We start from the raw sequence: 24,085 nt of genomic DNA on the forward strand, positions 1-24,085 counted from the left end.
AATTATTCTAATCTATATAATAGAATATTTATTATGCAGTGATATAAAAGATCCAGGAAGCTCTCTAATTACTGATAAAGGTCTCTAAGATGTGTGATTAGTTAAAAAAACAAACAAGAGCCAGGCGCGGTGGGTCACGCCTGTAATCCCAGCACTTCGGGAGGCCAAGGTGGATGGATCACTTGAGGTCAGGAGTTCGAGACCAGCCTGGCCAACATGGTGAAACCCCATCTCTATTAAAAGCACAAAAATTAGCTGGGCATGGTGGCAGGCTCCTGTAATTCCAACTACCCAGCAGGCTGAGGCAGGATAATCGCTTGAACCCGGGAGGCGGAGGTTGCAGCGCGCTGAGATTGTGCCACTGCACTCTAGCCTAGCTGACAGAGCAAGACTCTGTCAAAAAACAAACAAACAAACACACAAAAAACAAACAAGGTACAGCATGGTGTGGGTAGATTATTACCTTTTATGTGAAAATGGGCATTAAGAACACATCGCCACTTTTGGCCAGGCATAGTGGCTCACGCCTGTAATCCTGGCACTTTGGGAGCCCGAGGCGGGTGGATCACTTGAGACCAGAAGTTGGAGCCCAGCCTGGCCAACATAGCAAAACCCTGACTCTACTAAAAATACAAAAATTAACCAAGCATCATGGTGCATGCCTGTAATTCCAGCTACTCAGGAGGCGGAGGCAAAGGATCGCTTGAACCCAGAGGCAGAGGTTGCAGTGAGCCGAGATTGCACCATTGTACTACAGCCTGGGCAACAGAGCGAGACCCTGTCTCAAAGAAGAAAAAGAAAGAAAAAAAATCATTATTTTTGTACCTGCAGAAAGAAACTGTGAAAGAATACATGAGATACTAATAAAAAGTGGTGACTAATGAACTAAAAATTAACTAAAACTGGATGTTTTTGAATAGGTCAACAGGACACTGTCCTCCCCACTTCTTCCCAGGCCTGAGCCCGTTCCCTTACCCTCTCTCCATGGGTTAATTCTAGGGTACATTCCGCATGGAATCCTTGACCACTGGCTTCCCCCCACCTTGCTTCCTCTGCTGCCCTAGGGGAACTGGAAAAGAGTGTTCAGATAGCTGTGTCTGAGTGAGTCTTCTCTCTGGGATTCAGTTTTGCCGCCTGTGAAATGGGGATGATAATACCACATAGGGTTGTTAGGGAGTTAAATGAGATAACCCATGTCAAGTGCCAGCCCAGAGAAGGTGCCCAGCCCGTAGTAGATGCTCACAGCATTTGTGCTGCTGGATGTGGGAAAGCCCATTCCACCAGGAGGGAGTTTATCAAGCACAAGTAGCTGGATAATCAATGGTAGTGATAGCTCCCTTTGCCACCCACTCATCACTGCGGCCGATTACTCCCCCTTGGTGTCTCCATTCCTTCAGTTGCAGAGAGTTGGACCAAATGAGCTCTCTCTCACTACATGATTTAAAACCTGCAGTGACCAGGGACGATACCTTCTCATTCCGTATATGGGTTAGCGAAGCCCAGACAGGGTGGTGACTTGCTCAAGGTCACATGGCGTGTCAGAGGCAGAGGCAGAGCCAGGACTGGCACTGAGGGCCCCTGACTCCCTGCCAGGCCCTTGACCTGCATGCCTCTCTCTGCCCACGTGCATTTGTGTCAAAGTAGCCATGTGGTGACACAGGGGAAACTCTGTCCCTCCCCTGGGACTCTACTTATCTTCCCAGGTTCCGATTGTTATTACGGAGGGGCTGCTCCCCACCCGGCCAGGTGTCTTCTGGCCCCTCTGCAGGTCTGCTCCTGCCAGGAAACATAGAGTGACACAAACGCATTATTGGTGCTCTGTGAAGCAGGCACCCCAGAGGACGGGGTGGAGCCAGGGAACAGCCTGGGACTTCCAAGTGCCCACAAGTTGGGGCTCTTGTGTCCACTGGTGCAAGCTGCCCCCCACAACAGCCTCTGACTTCTAACCGGTCACCTGCAGCTCCCACCTCCCTACCAGCCTCCTGCTCACTGAGCTCCTGCCTTTGAGGGAGTTAATTCCCCTCCATGGGCCAGAGAGAGGGGCCTTGAGCTCTGATAGCCTTCCAGACACTAACTGGCTCCAGCTGACCTTCCTACCCATGAGTTTCACGAGTGCCTCAGGATCCTGAACCACAGATCCCGTCTCTTGTTTAGTTAGTGTGAGTGAAATTGGTTTCTGATATTTGAGCCTTGACCTGCCGTAAAGAATCTGAGCGCGTTTCCGACAGGGAAATGTCTGCATGTCTTAGGTGGGGACATCGGCGGCCCCCTGCCTGTCCATTATGCTCGTTCTGGTGGGGACATTGGCGGCCCTCTGCTTGTCCATTATGCTCATTCTTGGGAGATGTGGGACTGTTTGTTACTATTCAATCTGATGTACAGAGGGGGCGGAGAGAGACCCCTCAAATGTGCAGGCGTGCGTGTAGAGATTCCAGACTGACTATTCTAATCCTGTTTTGACTGATTTAATCTGGTTTTAGTACAGCTTGGCCCAAAAGGCTTGAGCCAGTTTACACTGGTCTCAGCTAGTTTTAACTGGTGGGCTCCATTTGAACATATCTGAGTCTACTTGAGTATTCTGAATTCATCTGTGTCTGTTTTGATTTGGGTTAGCTTAATAATGGCAGACACTTATTTTGTATTTGTGGTATGTCAGTATTGTCAATTCCAAGTGCCTTACATATATGAATTCATATCATCTTCACAACCACCTTGCAGGTAGGGACTGTTATTAGTGCCCTCATTTTACACATGGAGAAACTGAGACACGGAGCATTTAAGAAGCTTACCCCTGTTTCCCCGGTTGTTGAGTGGTGGAGCCAGGCCTGGAACCTGCTTTACCTGGCTACTGAGTGATAAACCTCCTTGAACCTGGCTCTTAACCACAATCAATACCACTCACTGTGGTGCGTGAACCACTTCAAGATGACTTGACGTTGCGTGAGCCGGTTTGGTCTGCTTTTGCCAGCATGAGCTGCTTGTGCTGGCGTTACCCGCACACAACCTTGATTTTGGTGATTCCAATCGACAGATGGAGCTCAGGCCTCGTGGATCCTCCTTGAACTGGAAGCCCACTGTATTTCTTTCCCAGGGCTGCTATGATGAACTGCTACAAACGTGGCTGCTTAACACAACAGAAGTTAATTTTCTCAGTTCTGGGGGCCAGAAGTCCAAAATCAAGGTGTCGGCCAGGCTATTCTCCCTCTGTATCCAGAGGATCAGGGAGAATCTGTTCCTTGCCTCCTCCAGCTTCTGGTGGCTCCAGGTGTTCCTCGAATTGTGGCCACAGAGCTCTGATCTCAGCCTCTGGGGCCACATTGCCTCTTCCTTTCCTGTCTGTGCCCTCTGGGGTCTCTCATAAGGACATTGTCAACAGATTTAGGGTCCACCCAGATAACCCAGGATGATCTCCTTATCTCAAAATCCTTAACTTAATTACATCCAAAAGGACTCTTTTTCCAAATAAGGTCACATTCACAAGTTCTGGGGATTAGAACATGGATATATCTTTTTTGAGACCTCCATTCAACTCATTACAACCAAAAGGCCACACCACAGTATTTGACCCTGAGAACCCAGCTCTTAAAACTGATTCTTCCTGTTGGATGAGTATTCGCCCAGCTATTGGGGTTTCATCACTGTCTGCTTGGGGATCAGAAAAGGAAGAGTGTCAAATGTGCTTGGAGCCATGGAAGAGCCTCTTGCACTTTTCAAGACCTATATATTAATATTCCTGGCTGGAAGGATCAAGATTTGCTGGAAATGTCAAGTGAGATGTAAAAATGTTTCTGTAAACAGGCACTCAAGGATAGCATTAGTTTTCTAAGATGTTTGTGGGTGATAACACCAAGCTCTTCTCCTGGGAGAGCATTCTTTAACGAATGTGCAGCTGAAGTGAAGGAGGGCAGGTAATTAAGAGATGAGGGGAAGCTGTTAACCCCCAAATATCACAAGGAAACAGCACTCAGGGGCCCTTTGTGCTCAACTGGCTCCAAACACCAACGATACAGAAATATGACAGAAAAGGGGAAGCTGTGTTTCTGTTTTCTGCATTTCTCCACTTCCATCCACAGTGAATGACCACAGACACTACCAGGTGTGAGAGTCAGCTTAGTCTTTGGACAGTTGTGGCCATTGCAGAGGCAGTGTGCTGGGGACCTCAGGGCTTGGGCACCAGGACGCTGCTCTGCTCCTAACAGCCGTGTGACCTTGGACAAGCCAGAGAGTCCTTCTGCATCTTGACTTGCTCATCTGTGAAATGGAGATAATAGGGCTACCTGTGAGTGTATTTGGTAGCATGCTATCTACCATACACGGCACGTACCCAGCCTCCATCTGACCTCTCTAAATCCACTTTTACCCTGCAATCATCTGTTCTCTCTAGAGCAGCCAGAGTGGGCCTTTGCACATGGAAATCAGATGATTTTGCCCTCATGTTTATATCCCCTCAGTGGTCAGAAGACAATTCAAGCCCCTTCCTCCAGCCTGTCCTGCATGATCCGGCCCCAGCCTTCTCCCAGCCCCTTCCTGCTCCTCTGTGCACCTCGCTTGCTGCACTCCGGATGCTCAGGGCTCTCTCCTGCTTCTCAAGCAGACCAACTTGTGCCAGGCCTCAGGGCTTTTGCTCATGCTGATCCGGCTTCCTGGGATGCCTCCCCTGGGCCCTGGGAATGGCTGCTTTCTTCTCATCCCTCAGGTGTCAGCTCAAACGTCATCTCCTCTCTGAGACCGCCTTGACCAGCACATTACACCAGGTTCTTACGCTATGTGCATATCTTCAGAACGCTTCACATTTTGGAATGACTTCTTGATCTGTGGGTGGGGGGGCGGGGGGATGGTTTGCTTATGTATTTGTCTATCTTCCCGTTGTTATTATTATTATTATTATCATCATCATTATTTGAGATGGAATCTCACTTTGTCACCCAGGCTGGAGTGCAGTGGCACAATCTCAGCTCACTGCCACCTCTGCCTCCTGGGCTCAAGCAATCCTCCCACCTCAGCCTCCTGAGTAGCTGGGGCCATAGGTACATGCCACCATACCCAGGCAATTTTTTTAATTTTTGGTAGAGACAGGGTTACACCATGTTGCCCAGGCTGATCTCAAACCCCTGAGCTGAAGCAATCCACCTGCCTTAGGCTCCCAAACTGCTGGGATTACAGGCATGAGCCGCCATGCCTGGCCTCTCTTCCCATTAGACTGCAAACTCCACAATAGCAGGAACTCCATCTGTTTGGTTCAACAATGTACACTCAGCACCTAGCACAGAACCTGGCACATCGTAAATGCTTAACAAGTATTTGTTGAATGAATGAGAAAATCAAATAGTAAAGCATGCCATTGCGTGGCGCAACACACTTCCACATGGCCTGGAATTTTGTCTGCTGCAAGCTCCAGCGTGCTATGACAGCACCACACTCTGACTGTCATGCAGCCCTTGATGTGGGACTTTCTACAAAACAGTCCATGAGCCCTGGGAAGCCCCAACATATCACAACATGGCCCAACCGGCTACAGTATTAGGCCTGGACAGGGTCTCAGATGCAGTCCCAGGGAGCACTGACCTGAGCTCTGGACATGTCCCACTGACCACAGGGAACCACAAGGAGCCCCAGCCTTGGATGGGGTGCTGTTTGGGCCCTGAGCATCTGAACTCCCAGGCCTCAAGTATCAGGTCCTCGGCTAGGGACCTGAGGTGAGCAGACAACAGGTCTTTGTCTTCCCAGAAAGCCCTGCTCAGCTCACAGAGGAGAATGGCTGATTCCGAGCATTTAGAGCAGTTGTGAAGTTTGTGGGGTGTGGGGAGCTCTGGGACTCCATAGAGAGGAGAGCCCTCTGCTCTGCCGTGTGTTCTTAGGCTTGTCACTGTCCCTTTCTGGCTTCACCTCCCTCTGTAAAAGTAAGAGAATACCAGAGGGCCTCCAGGGAGCATCTGGGTACAGGTTGGTACCAACGCCCAGAGAGGGGCTGCGCTGCCGGGGGTCCGGAGTAAGGGAGGACAAAACCACCACAGGGACCTAGGCTACCTGCCTCTTGAAAAGCCGGAAGGGCTCAGAGGGGGAAGTCTCGCTGGTGTCTCCTCCTCTGCTGCTCTGTCCCAGGCCCTTGGATAAGGCCCCACTTTGCTCAAGAATAAGTCATTGAGTCGGCCAGGCATGGTGGCTCATGCCTGTAATCCCAGCACTTTGGGAGGCTGAGGCGGGCGGATCACAAGGTCAGGAGATCGAGACCATCCTGGCTAACATGGTGAAACCTCATCTCTACTAAAAAAAAAATACAAAAAATTAGCTGGGCCTGGTTGTGGGTGCCTGTAGTCCCAGCTACTCAGGAGGCTGAGGCAGGAGAATGGCTTGAACCCAGGAGGCAGAGCTTGCAGTGAGCTGAGATCACGCCACTGCACTCCAGCCTGGGCGACAGAGCGAGACTCCATCAAAAAAAATAATAATAAGTCAATGAGTCACTAGGAGTCACTAGGAGGCAAAGGGTCAAAGGGTCATGGAAAAGGAAAGTGGGGGTGTCCAGCACCCCCGGCCCTGCCCTTTTCCTCCTCGGCCAAGGAACCCAGTGAGTCACAAAATTCCACTGGGGCGGGCTCTGTGCCAAGCTGAGTGATGGTGGGAGGCTCTGGCTCTGCTCCCATCCCCTGCTCTGAGTCCCTGCCTCTTATGCACAGACAGGCAGGCAGACAAGGACAGGCAGATGGCCACAACTCCCACACAGATACACAGACACCTCTTAGACAGGGAGGCACAGGCAGGACACACACACAGACATACAAGCCAACAAGTGCACAAATGCAGGCAAACAACACACGCTGGCAGACAGACAGATCCATAATGGACACAGAGACAACATCCAGACAGATACACACACACAGATGCACAGGTATGTAGCAGATGGACAGGTAAATGGATAGACAAGCAGACAATCAGTCAGACAAGGACAGGCAGATAGCCAAAATATCCAGACTCACAGATACACAGGCACATAGCAGATAGACAGGTAAACACACTTCGGAAGGCCAAGGCAGGCGGATTGCTTGAGCTCAGGAGTTGGAGACCAGCCTGGGCAACATGGTGAAACCCCATCTCTACTACAAATACAAAAAAAATTCAGGCAGGCATGGCGGTGTGCACCTGTAGTCCCAGTTACTCAGGAAGCTGAGGTGGGAGGATTACTTGAGCCCAGGAGGTCAAGGCTTCAGTGAGTCGAGATCGCGCCACTGTACTCCAGCCTGGGTGACAAAGTGAGACCTTGTCTCAAAAAAAAACAAAAAACAAAAAGCAAAAAAAACCCAGACGATCAGATGTGGACTGACAGACTCAAGCAGAAGCAGAAACACCCCCACAAACACCGCAACTCAGATATACACATGCATACATGCACACAGAGATAACACACCCAGACTCACGAGGGTAGCCTATGCGGTGTGATTTTGGGCAAAAGAGAGGCCAGATGTCTCTAAACAAGCCCCCAGCCCCAGAACCATGAAAAAGTAGGTACCATAAAAGTAGGAACTCTGGACACGAACTCTTTTGAAAGAAAGCAGCTTTCATCTCTTACCCTGAGGATATGACATTTACCAATACCGAGGGGCCCGTCCTGCAGTAAGATGAATGGAGTTTAGATAAGAAAAGAGACTTCCCAACCAGGAGCACGTTGAGACCTGTAGTGGGTGACTAAGGGTGACTAGGGGTAAAGGAGTGGGCTGGTGGCAGGCAGGGAGCCTGTGTTCTGGCTGCACGACCTCAGGCAAGTGCATTCTTCTGAGCCTCAGTTTCCCACCTAGGCTTTGTCCTCCCAGGTCCCTGCAGGGAGCAGATGGGCAGCTCCTGGGTGTGTTAGTGCCAGTGCTGGGGCCCCCGGATATTATCCCTCCACCCCCACCACCAGGGCAGGACCCCCTTGGTGACTCACCACCCAGTGGTCCATGGCAGGGGTAACCCAGCCACAGGTGCCGGTGATCCTCGGCTCTCTCCCTTCCCCCAGGGTCTGGCCAGCTGAGGATGCCCCTTGGTTTGGGGGAGGTTTGCAGGGAGGTCAGTGGGAGGGCAAAGGGAGTCCCTGATGCCTTCCCCGGGGCCACATGTGAGGCTCAGGCCTGGGCCTGGGAGGGTTTGTCCAGGTGTAGTCTCTTTTATCCTCTTTGCTGGTAGAGACCTCTGGCCTGGGCCCAACCTGTTGAAGAGAGGGCGTTGCACAATAGGGAGGTAAAAGGTGACGGCAGACCTGGCGGGACAGAAGCCCCATTGTTTGGGTCCCAGGCCAGCCTGGGCAAAGAAAGGTTTATGCCTGCGGCAGGAAGGAGGGCCTCTGCAGGGGGTGCCAGCTGGTAGGGCCCTTGCCTTTGGACCCTTGGAGGGGGACAGGTGCCAAGCAGGATGCCCTTGGGTTTGCTAGAGAGGGCAGTGCTCGTCTAGGGGCCCAAGCAGGCAAGGGAAGGCAGACTCAACAAGGGATCAAAGGGTGCAGAGGCCACCCCCACACCCTGCCCACCTCCCAGGGATGAGCCGCCCAGGGCACCTAAGGATCATACTCCTGGAATTCCAATCATTCCTAGGAGCTGGGGTGGCTAGGGGGGCGGCACCCAAGCCTAGGGGGCACAGTGGAGAGGGGTGTGCATGGCTATTTTTATTACCGAGGGGTCAGGAGAGGCTTACAGAATTTTGCCTCACATGCCCTCCCCATCATTTCCCAAACTTGTGTCCATAACCCAGAGCTCGGCTGCCCATATCCCCCCTTCTCCACCAGAGCCCCTCAGCTCCACAGGGATGCCCACTGTGAAGTCCTTCCCAGTGTGAAACCGCAATCCTTCCTGCTTGGGGTTCCCCTAAGGGAACGGCTTCCGCCACAGGAGACCCAGCCAGGACAATCGTGTGCTTGTCGTTTCTCCACCCTGCAAGCCCATGAGTTGTGGGGTAGTTACTCCAGGTACAAGCCAGGCGCCCCTCCCTTCCGCCACTGCTGGGGCGGTGCAGAGGGCGGGCGGTACAAAAAGCGCCCCGCCCCGCGCTCCTCTCTTGACTTTGAGCGTCCGGCGGTCGCAGAGCCAGGAGGCGGAGGCGCGCGGGCCAGCCTGGGCCCCAGCCCACACCTTCACCAGGTAGGGACGCTCCCCTGCTCAGAGGGCGGAAGGTGTAGACAGAGAAGAAACAGGGGGAGGGGGCAGGTAGAGGAACCAAGACAGATGGCAGAGAGAGGGACAGTGGAGGGGGACAGAGGGACACAGGAACAGAAGAGAGGTGTACCCAAAAGACCGGGGGAGACAGGAAAGCACAAAGTCAAGGACCCAGGTCAGGGATGGAGGCTGCTGGAGGGCAGAGAGACCTAGGACAGGAGAGAAGACCTTGGGTCCACAGGATGAGTGTTGGGTGGGAGCACCAAGAATGCCACCACCCTCATTTCCTTGTCCTTGAAGGTCCCTGCCTAGGTCAGGGAGGGGCTCCGTTTCTGCCCAGTCCCCATCCCCCTATAGCCAGGGCCCACACACTGGGGCTCCTCTGCCCGTGTCCTGCCTGGGGACTCAGGAATCGGGATCTCCCTCCCTGCTGGGCCCTCTTGAACTCACAGCTCCAGGAAACTGGGAGACTCATCCCTGGTGTTCCAGGGAGTCTCTGCTGCCCACCATCTCTGCCCCCCAGGGCCCAGGAGCCACCATGTGGCGATGTCCACTGGGGCTACTGCTGTTGCTGCCGCTGGCTGGCCACTTGGCTCTGGGTGCCCAGCAGGGTCGTGGGCGCCGGGAGCTAGCACCGGGTCTGCACCTGCGGGGCATCCGGGACGCGGGAGGCCGGTACTGCCAGGAGCAGGACCTGTGCTGCCGCGGCCGTGCCGACGACTGTGCCCTGCCCTACCTGGGCGCCATCTGTTACTGTGACCTCTTCTGCAACCGCACGGTCTCCGACTGCTGCCCTGACTTCTGGGACTTCTGCCTCGGCGTGCCACCCCCTTTTCCCCCGATCCAAGGTGGGCACTAAGATGGCCAGGAGGGTGGGTCACTTTGTCCACCTCAGACTCAGCAAGGCTCAAGAGCAAAGCTGATGGATGCACTGACATTTCCAGGGGAAGCTCTGTAGAATCTGGGACTCTTCCCTGCCCCTCTGGGAACTTTACTCTCCAGCAAGACTGAAGAAGCTCCTTGGTTAGAATTCTAATTTGGCCCAGGGAAAGGGCAACCTCCCACATTTTCTCCCAATCCTGTCTCTTTTCCAGACACGGAAGGTGCTGGCCGCACCTGCTGACTCACTCTTGGGCTGATAAGGCACATATGGGTTGGTGAGGGTCATCTTAGCCATTTTTCTGCCTTTGCTGAGGATTCTAGGATCCTGTGCCCCGAGATGGCTGCTCATACCTGGGAGATGGGTCAAATCTTTTCCTGCTTTCAGCCTCACCATCATCCTTTTCCATGCACTTGCCCCTGTCCAATAGGAGAATCACTTGCGTTCCTTCCCACAGTTCCATGGGGCTTGGGCCGGCAGACTGCATACCTGAGCTGTCATCTCAAGAGTGCTGTGTTATCTTAGGACGGTTGCTTACCTTCTCTGGGCCTTGGCTTCCCCATGCTCCTCCCACTCCCCATCTCCAAGCCCTAACTTATTTAAATGGAAAAGGATCCCAGGAATGTTGTGGCTGGCATCCAAGTAAAGTAAGAGGAATCCAGGTTGGAATCATTGAAGAACTTCCCAAACAGCAGTTGGTGTGTGACCCTGCAGGATTTGTCTTCAGTTATAGTTTAATTTCAGTGAGAGCTGGTGTGTGTGTGTGTGTGTGTGTGTGTGTGTGTGATGTCTTCAGTTATAGCTTAATTTCAGTGAGAGCTGGTGTGTGTGTGTGTGTGTGTGATATCTTCAGTTATAGTTTGGCTTCAATTTCAGTGAGAGCTGGTATGTGTGTGTGTGTGTGTGTGATGCCTTCAGTTATAGTTTAATTTTAGTGACAGCTGGTGTGTGTGTGTGTGTGTGTGTGTGATGTCTTCAGTTATAGTTTAATTTCAGTGAGAGCTGGTATGTGTGTGTGTGTGTGTGATGTCTTCAGTTATAGCTTAATTTCAGTGAGAGCTGGTGTGTGTGTGTGTGTGTGTTGTCTTCAGTATAGCTTAATTTCAGTGAGAGCTGGTGTGTGTGTGTGTGATGTCTTCAGTTATAGTTTAATTTCAGTGAGAGCTGGTGTGTGTGTGTGTGTGTGTGTGTGTGATGTCTTCAGTTATAGCTTAATCTCAGTGAGAGCTGGTGTGTGTGTGTGTGTGTGATGTCTTCAGTTATAGTTTAATTTCAGTGAGAGCTGGTGTGTGTGTGTGTGATGTCTTCAGTTATAGTTTAATTTCAGTGAGAGCTGGTGTGTGTGTGTGTGATGTCTTCAGTTATAGCTTAATCTCAGTGAGAGCTGGTGTGTGTGTGTGTGTGTGTGATATCTTCAGTTATAGTTTGGCTTCAATTTCAGTGAGAGCTGGTATGTGTGTGTGTGTGTGTGTGATGCCTTCAGTTATAGTTTAATTTTAGTGACAGCTGGTGTGTGTGTGTGTGTGTGTGTGTGATGTCTTCAGTTATAGTTTAATTTCAGTGAGAGCTGGTATGTGTGTGTGTGTGTGAGACAGAGAGAGAGAAAGAGAGAGAATCTTGGAAAGGTTCAAGGTACCTGACCTCCAAGGACCTGGCCAATTAGCCCATCCTCTCTGGTTCTGGTTCCACTTCTCTTCTCTTCCCTTCCAACAGGATGTATGCATGGAGGTCGTATCTATCCAGTCTTGGGAACGTACTGGGACAACTGTAACCGTTGGTGAGTGTTTGGAGCTTAGAGGGGTCTTGCTTTGTGAGCCTGTGGCTGACAGACTTGGTTCAAATCTTATCCCTGACCCCTTTTGCAAGGGAGAAGTCTTTTCCCTTCTTTGAACCTCAGTTTCCTCATCTGCAATAGAGGAATTTTAACACTGACCAAGTCAACTTATCTAACATCATTCCAACAACATTCCTCAAGCATGGCCAGCCATGGGTGCCTGGCCCAGGGGTCACCCTTGAACTGAGATCCTTCCCCACCCCTCCTGGCTTGGGCTGGGCTATTCCTCCCAGCTATTCCTGCTGTCACTGCAGAGTCAGAGGGAGAAGGGGGCGCCAGGAAGGAAAGCTCTGACTGCAGCATCCGCTGCCCTGAGCGGATGAGGGTCAGGGATGGCTGAGCGGGCGGCCAGCCAGCCTCTAGCAGGGCCTTCCCTGAAATGTGGCCCCTTTTTCCTTCCCCACCCCTCCCCACCATTCCCAGTAGGAGGAGGAAGGGGTCATGGGTACCCCCCTATTCAGTCTGAGATGGGAAGTGGAGAAGGGCCAGGTAGGAAACCCTGAAAGCCTTAATAGAAATAATGGGGAGCCTGCGACTTGGAGGAGGCGGCCCTGCACCCACTCCACCCCCACTCCCTCTTTGCCTGGGACTAAGAGGCCCCAGAGAGAAGGAAACTTTTTGGAATGCATTGCGCATAAGATATTTCCATTGCCTCACTAGGGTGAGGGGTGCCCGGGTCACAGTGAGGGAGGGAACGTTTCAGCATGTGTCTGGGTGTTCAGCGTGACTGTGTGTGCACTGTGTGTGTGTGTGTGTGTGTGTTCAAAAGGATAAAACATGCCTGGCCCGCGTCTGCAGGTTCTGATAGGATGGCTCTGGACGTTGAGGGGTTAATGCGCTCTCTCTCTCTCTCTCTCTCTCTCTCTCTCTCTCTCTCTCTCTCTCTCTGTCTCTCTCTCTCTGTCTCTCTCTGTCTCTCTCTCTCTGTCTCTCTCTCTCTCACTGCTGTCCCTGGCCCCTTAGGCCCCCTCTGGAATGCTGGGACCTGCTACCACCGGCCCTGCCTGGACCTGTGTGGGCAGCCCTGGGGGCAAAGGAGGAGATGGCAGGAAAGGACAGAACAGTCTACTGCCCTCTCCTCATGAAGGCTCTGGGGGCGAGGGTGGGGGAGTGTCCAGGGTGTCAGAGCCCTCAAAGGATGCTTCCAGAGTCTAGTCGGGTGCTGCTGCCTAGGTGTGCAGAGGGGGAACAGCCTGGTGTGCAGAGAGGGAAAGGAAGGATGAGGAAAGCCTTCCCGGCCCTGCAGACTCCTCTGGCCCTCCCCAGCAGTGCCCCCGCCTCTCCTGGGGCTGGAAAGCCCAGCCATACTGGGTCTTGGCTCCCCTTGAGGCTCCTTAAAAGGCAACATTGGAGGTGGGAGCCTTGGACAGCTTGCAAGGAGGCAGTTCAGCATCTTGTAATAACAGAGTTATGAGCTTGTAAAAGCATTATAGAATTCATAGAATGCAGCCCTTCAGTCGGCACCTATTATTAAAGACCTACTGCGTGACAGGCACTATGCTGAGCTCAGGAGATGGAGCGGGAATGCAACAGACACAGTCCTTGTCCCATTTCTAGTGTAAGGTGAAGGGCATGGGAAGACAACAAATGAGTATATTCTGACAAGCTGCCCAGTGTTATAGGGAAAAGAGAGGATAACGGGGGTCCCAGTTTAGAGTAGGGAGTGGGTGGGAAAGCTACTCTGAGGAAGGGACATTTATGCTGAGACCAGGGAGAAGGATAGGAGAGGCCTGGCCTAGGCAGAGGGAGTGGCTCGTGGGAAGGCCGGGAGGTGACTGAGCTCATTTTAGCTGGAGCTGGGGTAGGGGAGAGACGTCCCAAGGAGGTGCAGGCCACGTTCCGTGGCTCACATCAGCTGTGCCCAGGATTCTGCATTTTGTTTGGAGTCACAGGAAGCCACGTAGAGAGCACACGGTCTGATTTACGTTCTTCAAAGATCTCTCTGGCTTTGGGGTGGGTAGGGAGGGGATGGCCGGGAATTTTAAGGGGTAGCAGACTTGGTGAATAAGGCAGTGCCGGGGTCCAGGTGAGAGGTGATGAGGGACGGGAGTAGGGTGGCCACAGTGGAGGGGCGAGAGGTAGGTGGATTCCTCATGTGCCATCTCCAAGCCCTGCTGATGGGGGACATGTGGGCGGACACCACAGACCACCTGGAGCTCTGATGTGAACAACTGGGTGCCATTTTCAGAGTTGAAGATGTTAGGAAAGAGCAGGCTTGTGGGAGGCAGACGGGCTATTTTGAGTTTGAGATGCCTTTTGCACATCCAGAGATGTCAGAAGGTCAGTGGGATATGAGTCTGAAGCTCTAGAGAAGTGGGGTCTGGGATTCCTGTAACAGAATGGTGATAGTAGATATTAATTCTGAGCACTTAATGATGGACCAGGCCCAGTGCTAAATGCTTTACAAGCCTATCATTAAATCCCTGGAAAGTGGTACCACTGTATTATCCTCATTTTATAGACAAGGGCATTGAGAGAGACAGAGCTTGAATGATTCTCCTAAGATCACACAGCCAGTGGGCTGAAACCCAGAATCTGAATTCCAGAACCCATGCTCTTAGTCAATTCAGCATATGGCCTCAGTCATTGACTCAGTTAACAAATATTCATTGGGTGCTTACTATGTGCTAGGCTTTGTTTTCCTAGGCGCTGAAAATACCAAACAATACCTGCCCTCAAGGAATTTACAGCCTATGAGGAAACAGGGATAAGCAATATAAACAGGCCGGGCCTGTGGCTCACACCTGTAAATCTCAGCACTTTGGAAGGCCAAGGCGGGTGGATCACTTGAGGCCAGGAATTTGAGACCAGCCTGGGCAACATAGCAAAACCCCATCTCTACAAAAATTGCAAAATTTAGCTGGGTGTGGTGGTGCACTTGTAGTCTCAGCTATTTAGGAGGCTGAGGTGGGAGGGCCACTTGAGCCTGGGAAGCAGAGACTGCAGTGAGCCGAGATCACACCACTGCATTCCAGCCTGGGCAACAGAGCAAGACCCTGTCTCAAAAAAAAAAGCGGGGAGGAAGGGGAGCAGGCAGATTGGTGTGAACCATCAGGGGCCAGCCTAGTTGGAGCCTTAGAACCAGAACTTGAAGGAGGAGGGGATCAGGGGACAGGAGGACAGAGCGTGCAGGGCCTTGTTGTCACCAAACTTTGGCTCTTATTCTGTGATGTGAAGCCAGTGGAGGGTTTTGGGCAGAGGAACGACATGATATGACTTAGGTTTAGCAGGGTCACTCTGGCAGCTGTGTTAAAAATACCCTGGGAAGCAGGGCAAGGGGCAGATGCATGGAGCACCCACAGTGAGGAGGCCACAGCAGGAATCCAGGTGAGAGGTGATCGGACTTGGGCGGGCTGCAGGAGAGAATGAGAGTGGTTCGGATTCTGGATGCATTTTTAAGGTAGACCCATAGGATATGCGGATGAACTGGATCAGCATGGGAAAGGAAGTCAGCGGGGACTGCCAGGTTTGGGGCCCAAACTCCAGGAAGGATAGAGTTGCCGTTTTCTGAGAACTGTAGGGGGAATAAGTGAGGGGGGTCAGGAATTCGGTTCAGGGAGTGTTTTGGTTCAGGGTAGTGATGTTGAGTAGCCGTGAGATCCTTGACTCTGGTGTTCAGGCAGAGATCTGGGCCACAGATATAAACTTGAGAATCATGAACTAGACGTTGACATTTAAAGCCACCAGGCTGGATGGGATCACCTAGAGATTCTCCCACAGTCACTTGCACAGACTCCCTGGCCCATGTTAACCTCCGAGGCCACATTCCTTCAAAGTATCCCCAGTCCCCCACTTACCCTTTCCTTCTCTCCTTTTCTCACCAGCACCTGCCAGGAGAACAGGCAGTGGCAGTGTGACCAAGAACCATGCCTGGTGGATCCAGACATGATCAAAGCCATCAACCAGGGCAACTATGGGTGAGAGGCCCTAGAGGCACCCTCAGTGGGCACACATGCATACTCATGCATGTATACACGCATGCTGTGCTGTGGGGCACGTCCAGCAGGCCACTCCTACACCCAGATTTGACTGTGTGTGCGCTCAGCCACTGTGCGTCTCTCCCACCCACATGCACCCACGCCAAGGACCCTGAGCCTCGGCAGATCTGTGACTTCCTTCCGTCCCCTCTCCTTCAGCTGGCAGGCTGGGAACCACAGCGCCTTCTGGGGCATGACCCTGGATGAGGGCATTCGCTACCGCCTGGGCACCATCCGCCCATCTTCCTCGGTCATGAACATGCATGAAATTTATGTAAGTCCATCCTTCCCCACAATGCTGCCATCTCCCCATGGCTCAGAACCTCAGGGATGCTGGCCCTGTGCCCTGCTCCTCCAAGGGCCTGGACCATCCCCTACTACAAGGCTGTGTGTCCCTGGACAAGTTACTCCCCTTCTCTGGGCCTCTGTTCCCTGCTTCCACAGGATGTGCTGTGCTGGAAGAACTGATGCTCAGATTGAATTTCGTGGTCTTGGCATCAGCTCCCCCCTGATCTCTCCAGCCTGGGAAAAATGCTGTTGGTCTCAGTACAGCTGGGTTAGGGCCCAAGGGGACAGGGGGTCACCTTGGTATTTTGGGAAGGGAAGGACACACACTCCTCCAGTTCTGGCCAGAGGGCAGCAGTTCTCGGAAATAAATGCCGGTTCAGCGGAACCCCAAGGGAGGAGAGGGCTTCTCCCTTCCCACCAGTGGGACCCTCTGGGAGAGGAATGAAAACCAGGCCCAAAGTGAAAGGGTGAGGAAGGGGAGCTTCAGCAGGCCTGGACCGGGACATGTGCCGGAGCATTTGTCCATCAGTGGCAGGCAGCGGGGAGGCAGGGGCTGGCAGGAGTGGCCCTCCCTGCGGAGACTTCGGCCTTGGGTGACCAGACCCTGGCCCTGCCCTTATTCCCCTGGGCCTCTGGCTATTTTCTGCCTCTTGCTGTTTGTGTTGGCAGACTGCCTGGTCACGGGACCCTACTGCCTCTTCCCTCCCCTGAGGGAAAGCTAAGGCCTGAAGAAAGCTAAGGCCGATCAGAAGGTGCAGAGGAAAGAGGCAGGGGTTGAGAATGGAAAGCTGAGGGACCTGGCCTGGCCACTTCTCTGTGCCTGGCCTCAGCTGCCTCATCTGGGAAGCAGGACTAGTCACCACCGCCACCCCGCCCCGCCCCACCACCTGATACCTGGGAGGCACTAAATGGTGCTTGGTTCTTCAACACAAGTCAAAATTGGAGGCAGCTGGAATCCTGCAGCAGCAGGAGGGCTCAAGATTAAACTGCAGAAGGCCCTGGACTTGGTGGCCCTCCAGTGCCAATGGGCACCTGAGGGGCAGGCCAGGGCAGAGCAGGAGGCAGACAGGGCAACCTTTATCTTGCAGACAGTGCTGAACCCAGGGGAGGTGCTTCCCACAGCCTTCGAGGCCTCTGAGAAGTGGCCCAACCTGATTCATGAGCCTCTTGACCAAGGCAACTGTGCAGGCTCCTGGGCCTTCTCCACAGCAGGTAAGCCAAGGGCAAGGGCTGGCGCCTGGGAGAGGAGGGCCAAGTCCTGAGCCTCCCGACAGCCCCTCTATCTCACCCCACCAGCTGTGGCATCCGATCGTGTCTCAATCCATTCTCTGGGACACATGACGCCTGTCCTGTCGCCCCAGAACCTGCTGTCTTGTGACACCCACCAGCAGCAGGGCTGCCGCGGTGGGCGTCTCGATGGTGCCTGGTGGTTCCTGCGTCGCCGAGGGTATGCAGCAACAGGGGATGTGGGCAGAGAAGAGGGCAAGGAGCTCCGTGGGCATGGCCTGGGCCATGATGCACTGAGTCTTTCTGCCTTTGCTCCCTCTTGCTGCCTTTGCAGGGTGGTGTCTGACCACTGCTACCCCTTCTCGGGCCGTGAACGAGACGAGGCTGGCCCTGCGCCCCCCTGTATGATGCACAGCCGAGCCATGGGTCGGGGCAAGCGCCAGGCCACTGCCCACTGCCCCAACAGCTATGTTAATAACAATGACATCTACCAGGTCACTCCTGTCTACCGCCTCGGCTCCAACGTAAGTCAGCACTTGGGTGAGGGCGCCGAGGCAGGAGGGTTGTGAAAGCCTGGAGTCTCACCCCTGACGTATGCTCTCTGTCCATCCCCTGCCCTCCAGGACAAGGAGATCATGAAGGAGCTGATGGAGAATGGCCCTGTCCAAGGTAAACCCCCTTATCCAGCACCCTGGTTCCAGAAGCTTGTGCCTGCTTGAGAGTGGGCACAGTAGCACAAGTGGCCTGCACAGCATTCAGCAGCATGTCCAGTAGGGCCAGGAGTAGGGGTCCCCCCCTCCCACAGGCAGCACCTGGAGGGAGCACTTAGAGCTTTGGTATGGAGGGACCCTGGTGCCTGGGCACATCTCAATAGACTCAGGCTCCAGTGCCTGTGCCAACGGGCTGAGTGGACCCTACCTTGACATCTGCCCACAGCCCTCATGGAGGTGCATGAGGACTTCTTCCTATACAAGGGAGGCATCTACAGCCACACGCCAGTGAGCCTTGGGAGGCCAGAGAGATACCGCCGGCATGGGACCCACTCAGTCAAGATCACAGGGTGAGGGGCGTGTGGGCAGAGGGGGTTTGGGACAGCAGGGTTTGTGCTAGGGGCTCTGGAGCCTGCCTTGGGTTCTTACAACCTCTCTAAAAAGCCAGGACTGCTCTCATCATTTCAATAGGGAGAAAACTGAGACTCAGAAAGAGAAAGGACTTGCCCTGGGTCGAATTGAAGGTTGGGAGCCTCTGAAGGCTTTTTTAGGAACTGTTCCTTCCTTACATTGGGATAAAATAACTCCAATATGAAGAGAGCCTCAAGAGTTTCTCAACCTCTCCCCACCTCAGCACCTGTCCCAGCTCTGCCTGACCCACCGAGTGACCTGGGAGGTCGCTCCCCTGGCCTCAGTTTCCCTATCCGATTTAGGGAATATAGATGTTAGGATCACTGACTTCAATGAACTCGGTGAAATGTGCTTTACGGTGGGAATTGGCGGTCTCTAAGATACCCATATTCTCAGAGTGTCTTCCTTCTGGCCCTTGGCACCTACCCCTCCCTGGATCCCCAAGTGAGGGAGGGCAGGTGGATGTGTGGTCCCATAGAACTGGCCCCTAGGAGGTGGGTCTCTGGAGGACCCAGGTTCCCTCCTCTTCTGCTCACCTTGCCTCCACTTGTCCCCTTGGTGCCCCACCCCCTCCCATGCTGGGCCTGGGTGCACCGACTTACAGATGTGAGAGTGAGGGAGATGCAGAGAGGTACAGAGACCTGCCTGAGCCCTAAGGGTGTACCCAACCCTCCAAAGGCAACTGGGGGCTGGATGGGGCAGGTTTCCGGGATTGGAGCTCCTGAGAGCAGGTAGACCCAGCTCCCTTCCCCCTCCTCTGCTCTGCCCACAGATGGGGAGAGGAGACGCTGCCAGATGGAAGGACGCTCAAATACTGGGTGAGGCCGCTGACCCTTTCCCCGCCCCCTCTTCCCCTCGCCCCACTCCCATTCCCCTTCTCACCACCCCTCCTTATTCCCAGACTGCGGCCAACTCCTGGGGCCCAGCCTGGGGCGAGAGGGGCCACTTCCGCATCGTGCGCGGCGTCAATGAGTGCGACATCGAGAGCTTCGTGCTGGGCGTCTGGGGCCGCGTGGGCATGGAGGACATGGGTCATCACTGAGGCTGCGGGCACCACGCGGGGTCCGGCCTGGGATCCAGGCTAAGGGCCGGCGGAAGAGGCCCCAATGGGGCGGTGACCCCAGCCTCGCCCGACAGAGCCCGGGGCGCAGGCGGGCGCCAGGGCGCTAATCCCGGCGCGGGTTCCGCTGACGCAGCGCCCCGCCTGGGAGCCGCGGGCAGGCGAGACTGGCGGAGCCCCCAGACCTCCCAGTGGGGACGGGGCAGGGCCTGGCCTGGGAAGAGCACAGCTGCAGATCCCAGGCCTCTGGCGCCCCCACTCAAGACTACCAAAGCCAGGACACCTCAAGTCTCCAGCCCCACTACCCCACCCCACTCCTGTATTCTTTTTTTTTTTTTTTTAGACAGGGTCTTGCTCCGTTGCCCAGGTTGGAGTGCAGTGGCCCATCAGGGCTCACTGTAACCTCCGACTCCTGGGTTCAAGTGACCCTCCCACCTCAGCCTCTCAAGTAGCTGGGACTACAGGTGCACCACCACACCTGGCTAATTTTTGTATTTTTTGTAAAGAGGGGGGTCTCACTGTGTTGCCCAGGCTGGTCTCGAACTCCTGGGCTCAAGCGGTCCACCTGCCTCCGCCTCCCAAAGTGCTGGGATTGCAGGCATGAGCCACTGCACCCAGCCCTGTATTCTTATTCTTCAGATATTTATTTTTCTTTTCACTGTTTTAAAATAAAACCAAAGTATTGATAACTACAGTGTCTTGGAACCTCTGGGAGTGGAAAGCCAAGCCAAAGTTGGGCTGGCAGTGGTTAGACAGCAGAAAGGACTGCCTGAGGTGTTGCTGGTTGGCAGGGGTGGGGGGACTGGAAATCCTAACTTCCATTCAGCCCTAATTGTCAATGCCCTGGGCACTGACCCACTTGGGGGAGGGGCATGGATGGCATGGCCTTTGGCCCTAGAGAGAAACCTGAACCGTGGGAACCACCTTTCAGACGCTGAGTCAGCTGCCGCCTGAAGGGGGAGCCCTGCACTCCTATCAGCTGAACCGGTGCCAGTGCCCAGCAGGCAAGGGGGGCACAGCCCTCAGAAGCTGGAGCCTCTGTCTCTGTAGATCAGTCTCTCCAAGCCATCCAGGCAAGGGGGGCCTCTCCTCGGCCTGCTCTTGGGCCAAGCTGAGCCTGCTTCCCACCCCACCTCCTCAGATTCCCAGTGCCAGCACAATAAGCCAGGCCTCAGCCTGGCTCCAAGGCCATCAGAACCCACCCGCCCAACCTCGTCACCAGCTCCTTGCTGCCTCTCAAATGCCCGGTACACATGCAGACTGCCAGACATTCGCTCACGCTGCTCTCCGGGCCAGATGCCCTTCCATGCCACCCACCCCTTGTCCCGCTCCAAGGTTCCTTCTTCCAGACAGTGCCTGTGAAGGTCACTGAAGTGCCAGAGGCTGTGCAAGGAGCCCAGGCCACCCCATCCCCATCCGGCGTGGGTTAGACCCTCCCTCAAATCATCTGCACTCTGCCCTTCACCCAATATTTCAGGTATCTGGGATCTATTGAACTTCCGCATTATGCTGGAAGTTCCTAGAGGGCAGGGATGGTCTGTTTCATTAGTGGGTCCTGGTACCCACACCGAAACCCTGGTATAGGGTGGCCCTCCAATGTATGGAATGACTGAGTGGATATGGCCCATTCTTTCACCTCCAGGCCCCTCCCAAGCCTCCACTGCGTCCCCCCGGGCACAGACGCCAGGCTGGTGCTCCTTCCTTTCTGGGAGCCCAAGGGCCTGTGCCTGGGAGGGGGATCCCCGAGCGCAAGGAATCCTCCCCGCCGCCACCTCCAGCCAGTGGGGAGGCAGGGGCACCCTCAGTCGCCGAGGGACTGCGGCAGGGAGGTCCCCGGGGGCCCCTGGCAGCCCCTCAGGATCGCCGCGTCCCCCGGGCCTCACGGGCATCACCTGAAAGGAATGCGGGCGCCGGATAAGTGGCCGCCTTTGTCTCGCTTCCTGTTTGCCAGGACGTCCAGAGCCCGGCTCCAGCGGCCCGCCCGCCGGTCCCCAGGGAGCCAAGGCCGGCGGGGAGCCCCGAAGGGGCGGCGGCCCCTTCGCACCCGCTCAGTGGCCCCGGGACCCGCCCCGCCGGTAAAACCCGGTTCGGAGGCAGCTCGGTGGCCCCGCGAGGCTGGAATTTTCTACGGGTACCTTCCAAGGAAGCTCTGGGGGGCGGGGACGGTCGGGCGCGGCCCGCCGGGTCTCAAGGCTGAGGCTAAGGCTCCGGCTCCAGCTCCGCCCGCCCTGGCGCTGCGGACCCGTGTTGATGCCAGAAAGGGGTCCAGATCCAGACCCCAAGAGAGGGTTCTTGGATCTCGTGCAAGAAAAAATTAGAGGTGAATCTCTGCAGTAAAGTGAAAGCAAGTTTATTAGGAAAGTAAAGGCATAAAAGAATGGCCACTCCGGCAGGGCGCGGTGGTTCACGCCCGTAATCCAAGCACTTTGGGAGGCCAAGGCGGGCGGTTCCCGCGGTCAGGAGGGGCCAGGCTGACCCCCCAGTGTCAGAGACCTCTGAACCACAGCAACTCCATCTTGAATAGGGGCCGGGTAAAATAAGACTGAGATCTACTGGGCCGCATTCTCAGACAGCTAGCCATTCTAAGTCACAGGGTGAGATAGGAGGTCGGCAAAAGATACAAGTCATAAAGATCTTGCTGATAAAACAGGATGTGGAAAGAAGCCGGCCAACAGGCGCGGTGGCTCACGCCTGTAATCCCAGCACTTTGGGAGGCTGAGGTGGGCAGATCACGAGGTCAGGAGATCCAGACCAGCCTAACCAATGTGGTGAAACCCCGTCTCTACTGAAAATATAAAAATTAGCCGGGCGTGGTGGTGTGGGCCTGTAATCCCAGCTACTCAGGAGGCTGAGGCAGGAGAATCGCTTGAACCCGGGAGGCGGAGGTTGCAGTGAGCTGAGATGGTGCCACTGCACTTGAGCCTGGGCAACATAGCGAGACTCCATCTCAAAAAAAAAAAAAAAAAGAAGAAGAAAAGAATGGCTACTCCGTAGAGCAGCCCCAAGGGCAGCTGGTGTCCCATATTTATGGTTCTTTCTTGATTATCTGCTAAACAAGGGGTGGATTACTCATGCCTCCCCTTTTAGGGTCACTTACTGACATTGCCATGACATTTGTAAACTGTCATGGCACTGGTGGGAGTGCAGCAGTGAGGACGACCAGAGGTCACTCTCGTGCCATCTTGGTTTTGGTGGGTTTTGGCCGGGTTCTTTTTTTTTTCTTTTTTGAGATGGAGTCTTGCTATATTGCCCAGGCTGGAGTGCAGTGGTGCGATCTCAGCTCACTGCAAGCTCTGCCTCCCGGGTTCATGCCATTCTCCTGCCTCAGCCTCCCGAGTATCTGGGACTACAGGCGCCCGCCACCATGCCCGCCACCACACCAGGCTAATTTTTTTTTATTTTTAGTAGAGATGGGGTTTCACTGTGTTAGCCAGGATAGTCTCAATCTCCTGACCTCGTGATCCGCCCGCCTCGGCCTCCCAAAGTGCTGGGATTACAGGCATGAGCCACCGCACCTGTTGACCGGCTTCTTTCCACAGCCTGTTTTATCAGCAAGATCTTTATGACTTCTATCTTTTGCCGACCTCCTATCTCATCCTGTGACTTAGAATGCCTAACTGTCTGAGAATGCAGCCCAGTAGGTCTCAGCCTTATTTTACCCAGCTCCTATTCAAGATGGAGTTGCTGTGGTTCAGAGGTCTCTGACAGTAGGGGGTCAGCCTGGCCCCTCCTTAGCCTTGTTCCTGGGGCCAGCAAGCCCAGGCCCACCTGGGCCAGTTCTGCAGTGGACGAGGGTTCAGATAGGGCTGGAGATGCCCTAGCCGGGGCCTCAGCCACCTCCACCAGCCACTCCTGCTCCTCCGATGTTGGGCATGGGAGTGTTGTTATAAAGAGCGAGGCTTACCTCAAGCACCCCAAACCCGATTACTGCCCCTGAATCTGCCCCTAAAGAAACCCTGGTCCCACAGCCCCTTGCTGTGTGTCATGGGGCCAGTCCTTCCCTTTCCCAGGGCCAAGGGTGTGGGATGTTAGACAGAGCTGGGTTTGAACCCCTACTCTGTCCGGCTGTGTGTATTATTGGACAGGTTTTTCCAACTTAAATGGGGGACAGTAGTACTCACCTACCTCCTGGGGTTGGTGGGAGGATTCAATGAGACAAAACATGCTAAGCCTTTAGCTCAGTACTTGGAACTCATTAAGGGCTTAATAAATGGTAACAGCAACAGCGATGATTGTTTTAAGAGATTGGACCTGATAATGTAAAGGCTTTTTATAATGAGCTAAACATTCATTGAGTGCTTAACCATAGGTTTCTGCCAGCATGTTGTTCTGAATGCTTTACATACATTGTCTCATTTAAGCCCCCCCAAACCCAAAAAACAAAACAAAACAAAAAACTATTTCCAGAAGCATAGAGAAAAGCAAGTAAGTTGCTGAATGTCGTACATTTAATAATTGCATCAGGATTCAAACCCAAGTCACCTAAATCCTCACACTCATCAGCTCTGTATTAAGATTAATAGTGATATTCCAATGTCCTTCCCCAAGCCCTTTCCCTGTCTGGCAAGCTCTTATTCAT

General features: G+C 54.1%; 1 protein-coding gene and 1 long non-coding RNA gene across 9 annotated transcripts, besides 2 other annotated features; one reads left to right on the forward strand and one right to left on the reverse strand.

Annotated features, from left to right (window-relative positions):
• Positions 1 to 446: 446 nt before the first annotated feature.
• On the reverse strand, positions 447 to 10,406 carry LOC105378626 (uncharacterized). Of its 2 annotated transcripts, none has more exons than NR_188671.1 (6): positions 10,353 to 10,406; positions 7,919 to 8,179; positions 4,544 to 4,812; positions 2,790 to 4,251; positions 976 to 1,134; positions 447 to 778 (listed from the first exon to the last, which is right to left on the reverse strand). It is a non-coding gene; the product is annotated as an uncharacterized LOC105378626 (long non-coding RNA). The 2 variants fall into 2 exon arrangements; NR_188670.1 differs by having other exon boundaries at positions 976 to 1,776.
• Positions 1,267 to 1,768: an enhancer, noted in NCBI's record as "H3K4me1 hESC enhancer chr1:32034359-32034860 (GRCh37/hg19 assembly coordinates)". NCBI's record gives its function as "activates a minimal SCP1, AML or CMV promoter by ChIP-STARR-seq in primed H9 embryonic stem cells {active_cell/tissue: H9 hESC(primed)}" and the evidence as "EXISTENCE:reporter gene assay evidence [ECO:0000049][PMID:30033119]".
• Positions 8,835 to 9,555: an enhancer, noted in NCBI's record as "H3K27ac-H3K4me1 hESC enhancer chr1:32041927-32042647 (GRCh37/hg19 assembly coordinates)". NCBI's record gives its function as "activates a minimal SCP1, AML or CMV promoter by ChIP-STARR-seq in primed H9 embryonic stem cells {active_cell/tissue: H9 hESC(primed)}" and the evidence as "EXISTENCE:reporter gene assay evidence [ECO:0000049][PMID:30033119]".
• Positions 9,024 to 20,195, forward strand: TINAGL1 (tubulointerstitial nephritis antigen like 1). Of its 7 annotated transcripts, NM_022164.3 has the most exons (12): positions 9,024 to 9,104; positions 9,643 to 9,967; positions 11,713 to 11,776; positions 15,658 to 15,750; positions 15,970 to 16,084; positions 17,187 to 17,310; positions 17,395 to 17,545; positions 17,660 to 17,849; positions 17,949 to 17,994; positions 18,262 to 18,385; positions 19,219 to 19,264; positions 19,348 to 20,195. In NM_022164.3, the coding sequence occupies exons 2-12, from the start codon at positions 9,658 to 9,660 to the stop codon at positions 19,486 to 19,488; spliced, it is 1,404 nt and encodes a 467-aa protein (NP_071447.1). In that variant the 5' UTR covers positions 9,024 to 9,104; positions 9,643 to 9,657; the 3' UTR covers positions 19,489 to 20,195. The 7 variants fall into 7 exon arrangements, with proteins under 7 accessions (NP_071447.1, XP_005271163.1, NP_001191343.1 ...); XM_005271106.4 differs by lacking the exon at positions 18,262 to 18,385; NM_001204414.2 differs by lacking the exon at positions 15,658 to 15,750.

This window comes from Homo sapiens, chromosome 1, assembly GCF_000001405.40.
Source record: "Homo sapiens chromosome 1, GRCh38.p14 Primary Assembly".
Classification (NCBI taxonomy): Eukaryota; Metazoa; Chordata; class Mammalia; order Primates; family Hominidae; genus Homo; species Homo sapiens.

Excerpts from the sequence above, each read along its gene's own strand:
- TINAGL1 (NM_022164.3), top strand. The coding sequence starts at position 9,658 with ATGTGGCGATGTCCACTGGGGCTACTGCTGTTGCTGCCGCTGGCTGGC. Across the intron at positions 11,777-15,657 it reads TGGGACAACTGTAACCGTTG|CACCTGCCAGGAGAACAGGC; the intron begins GTGAGTGTTTGG and ends TTTTCTCACCAG. Across the intron at positions 19,265-19,347 it reads GAAGGACGCTCAAATACTGG|ACTGCGGCCAACTCCTGGGG; the intron begins GTGAGGCCGCTG and ends CCTTATTCCCAG.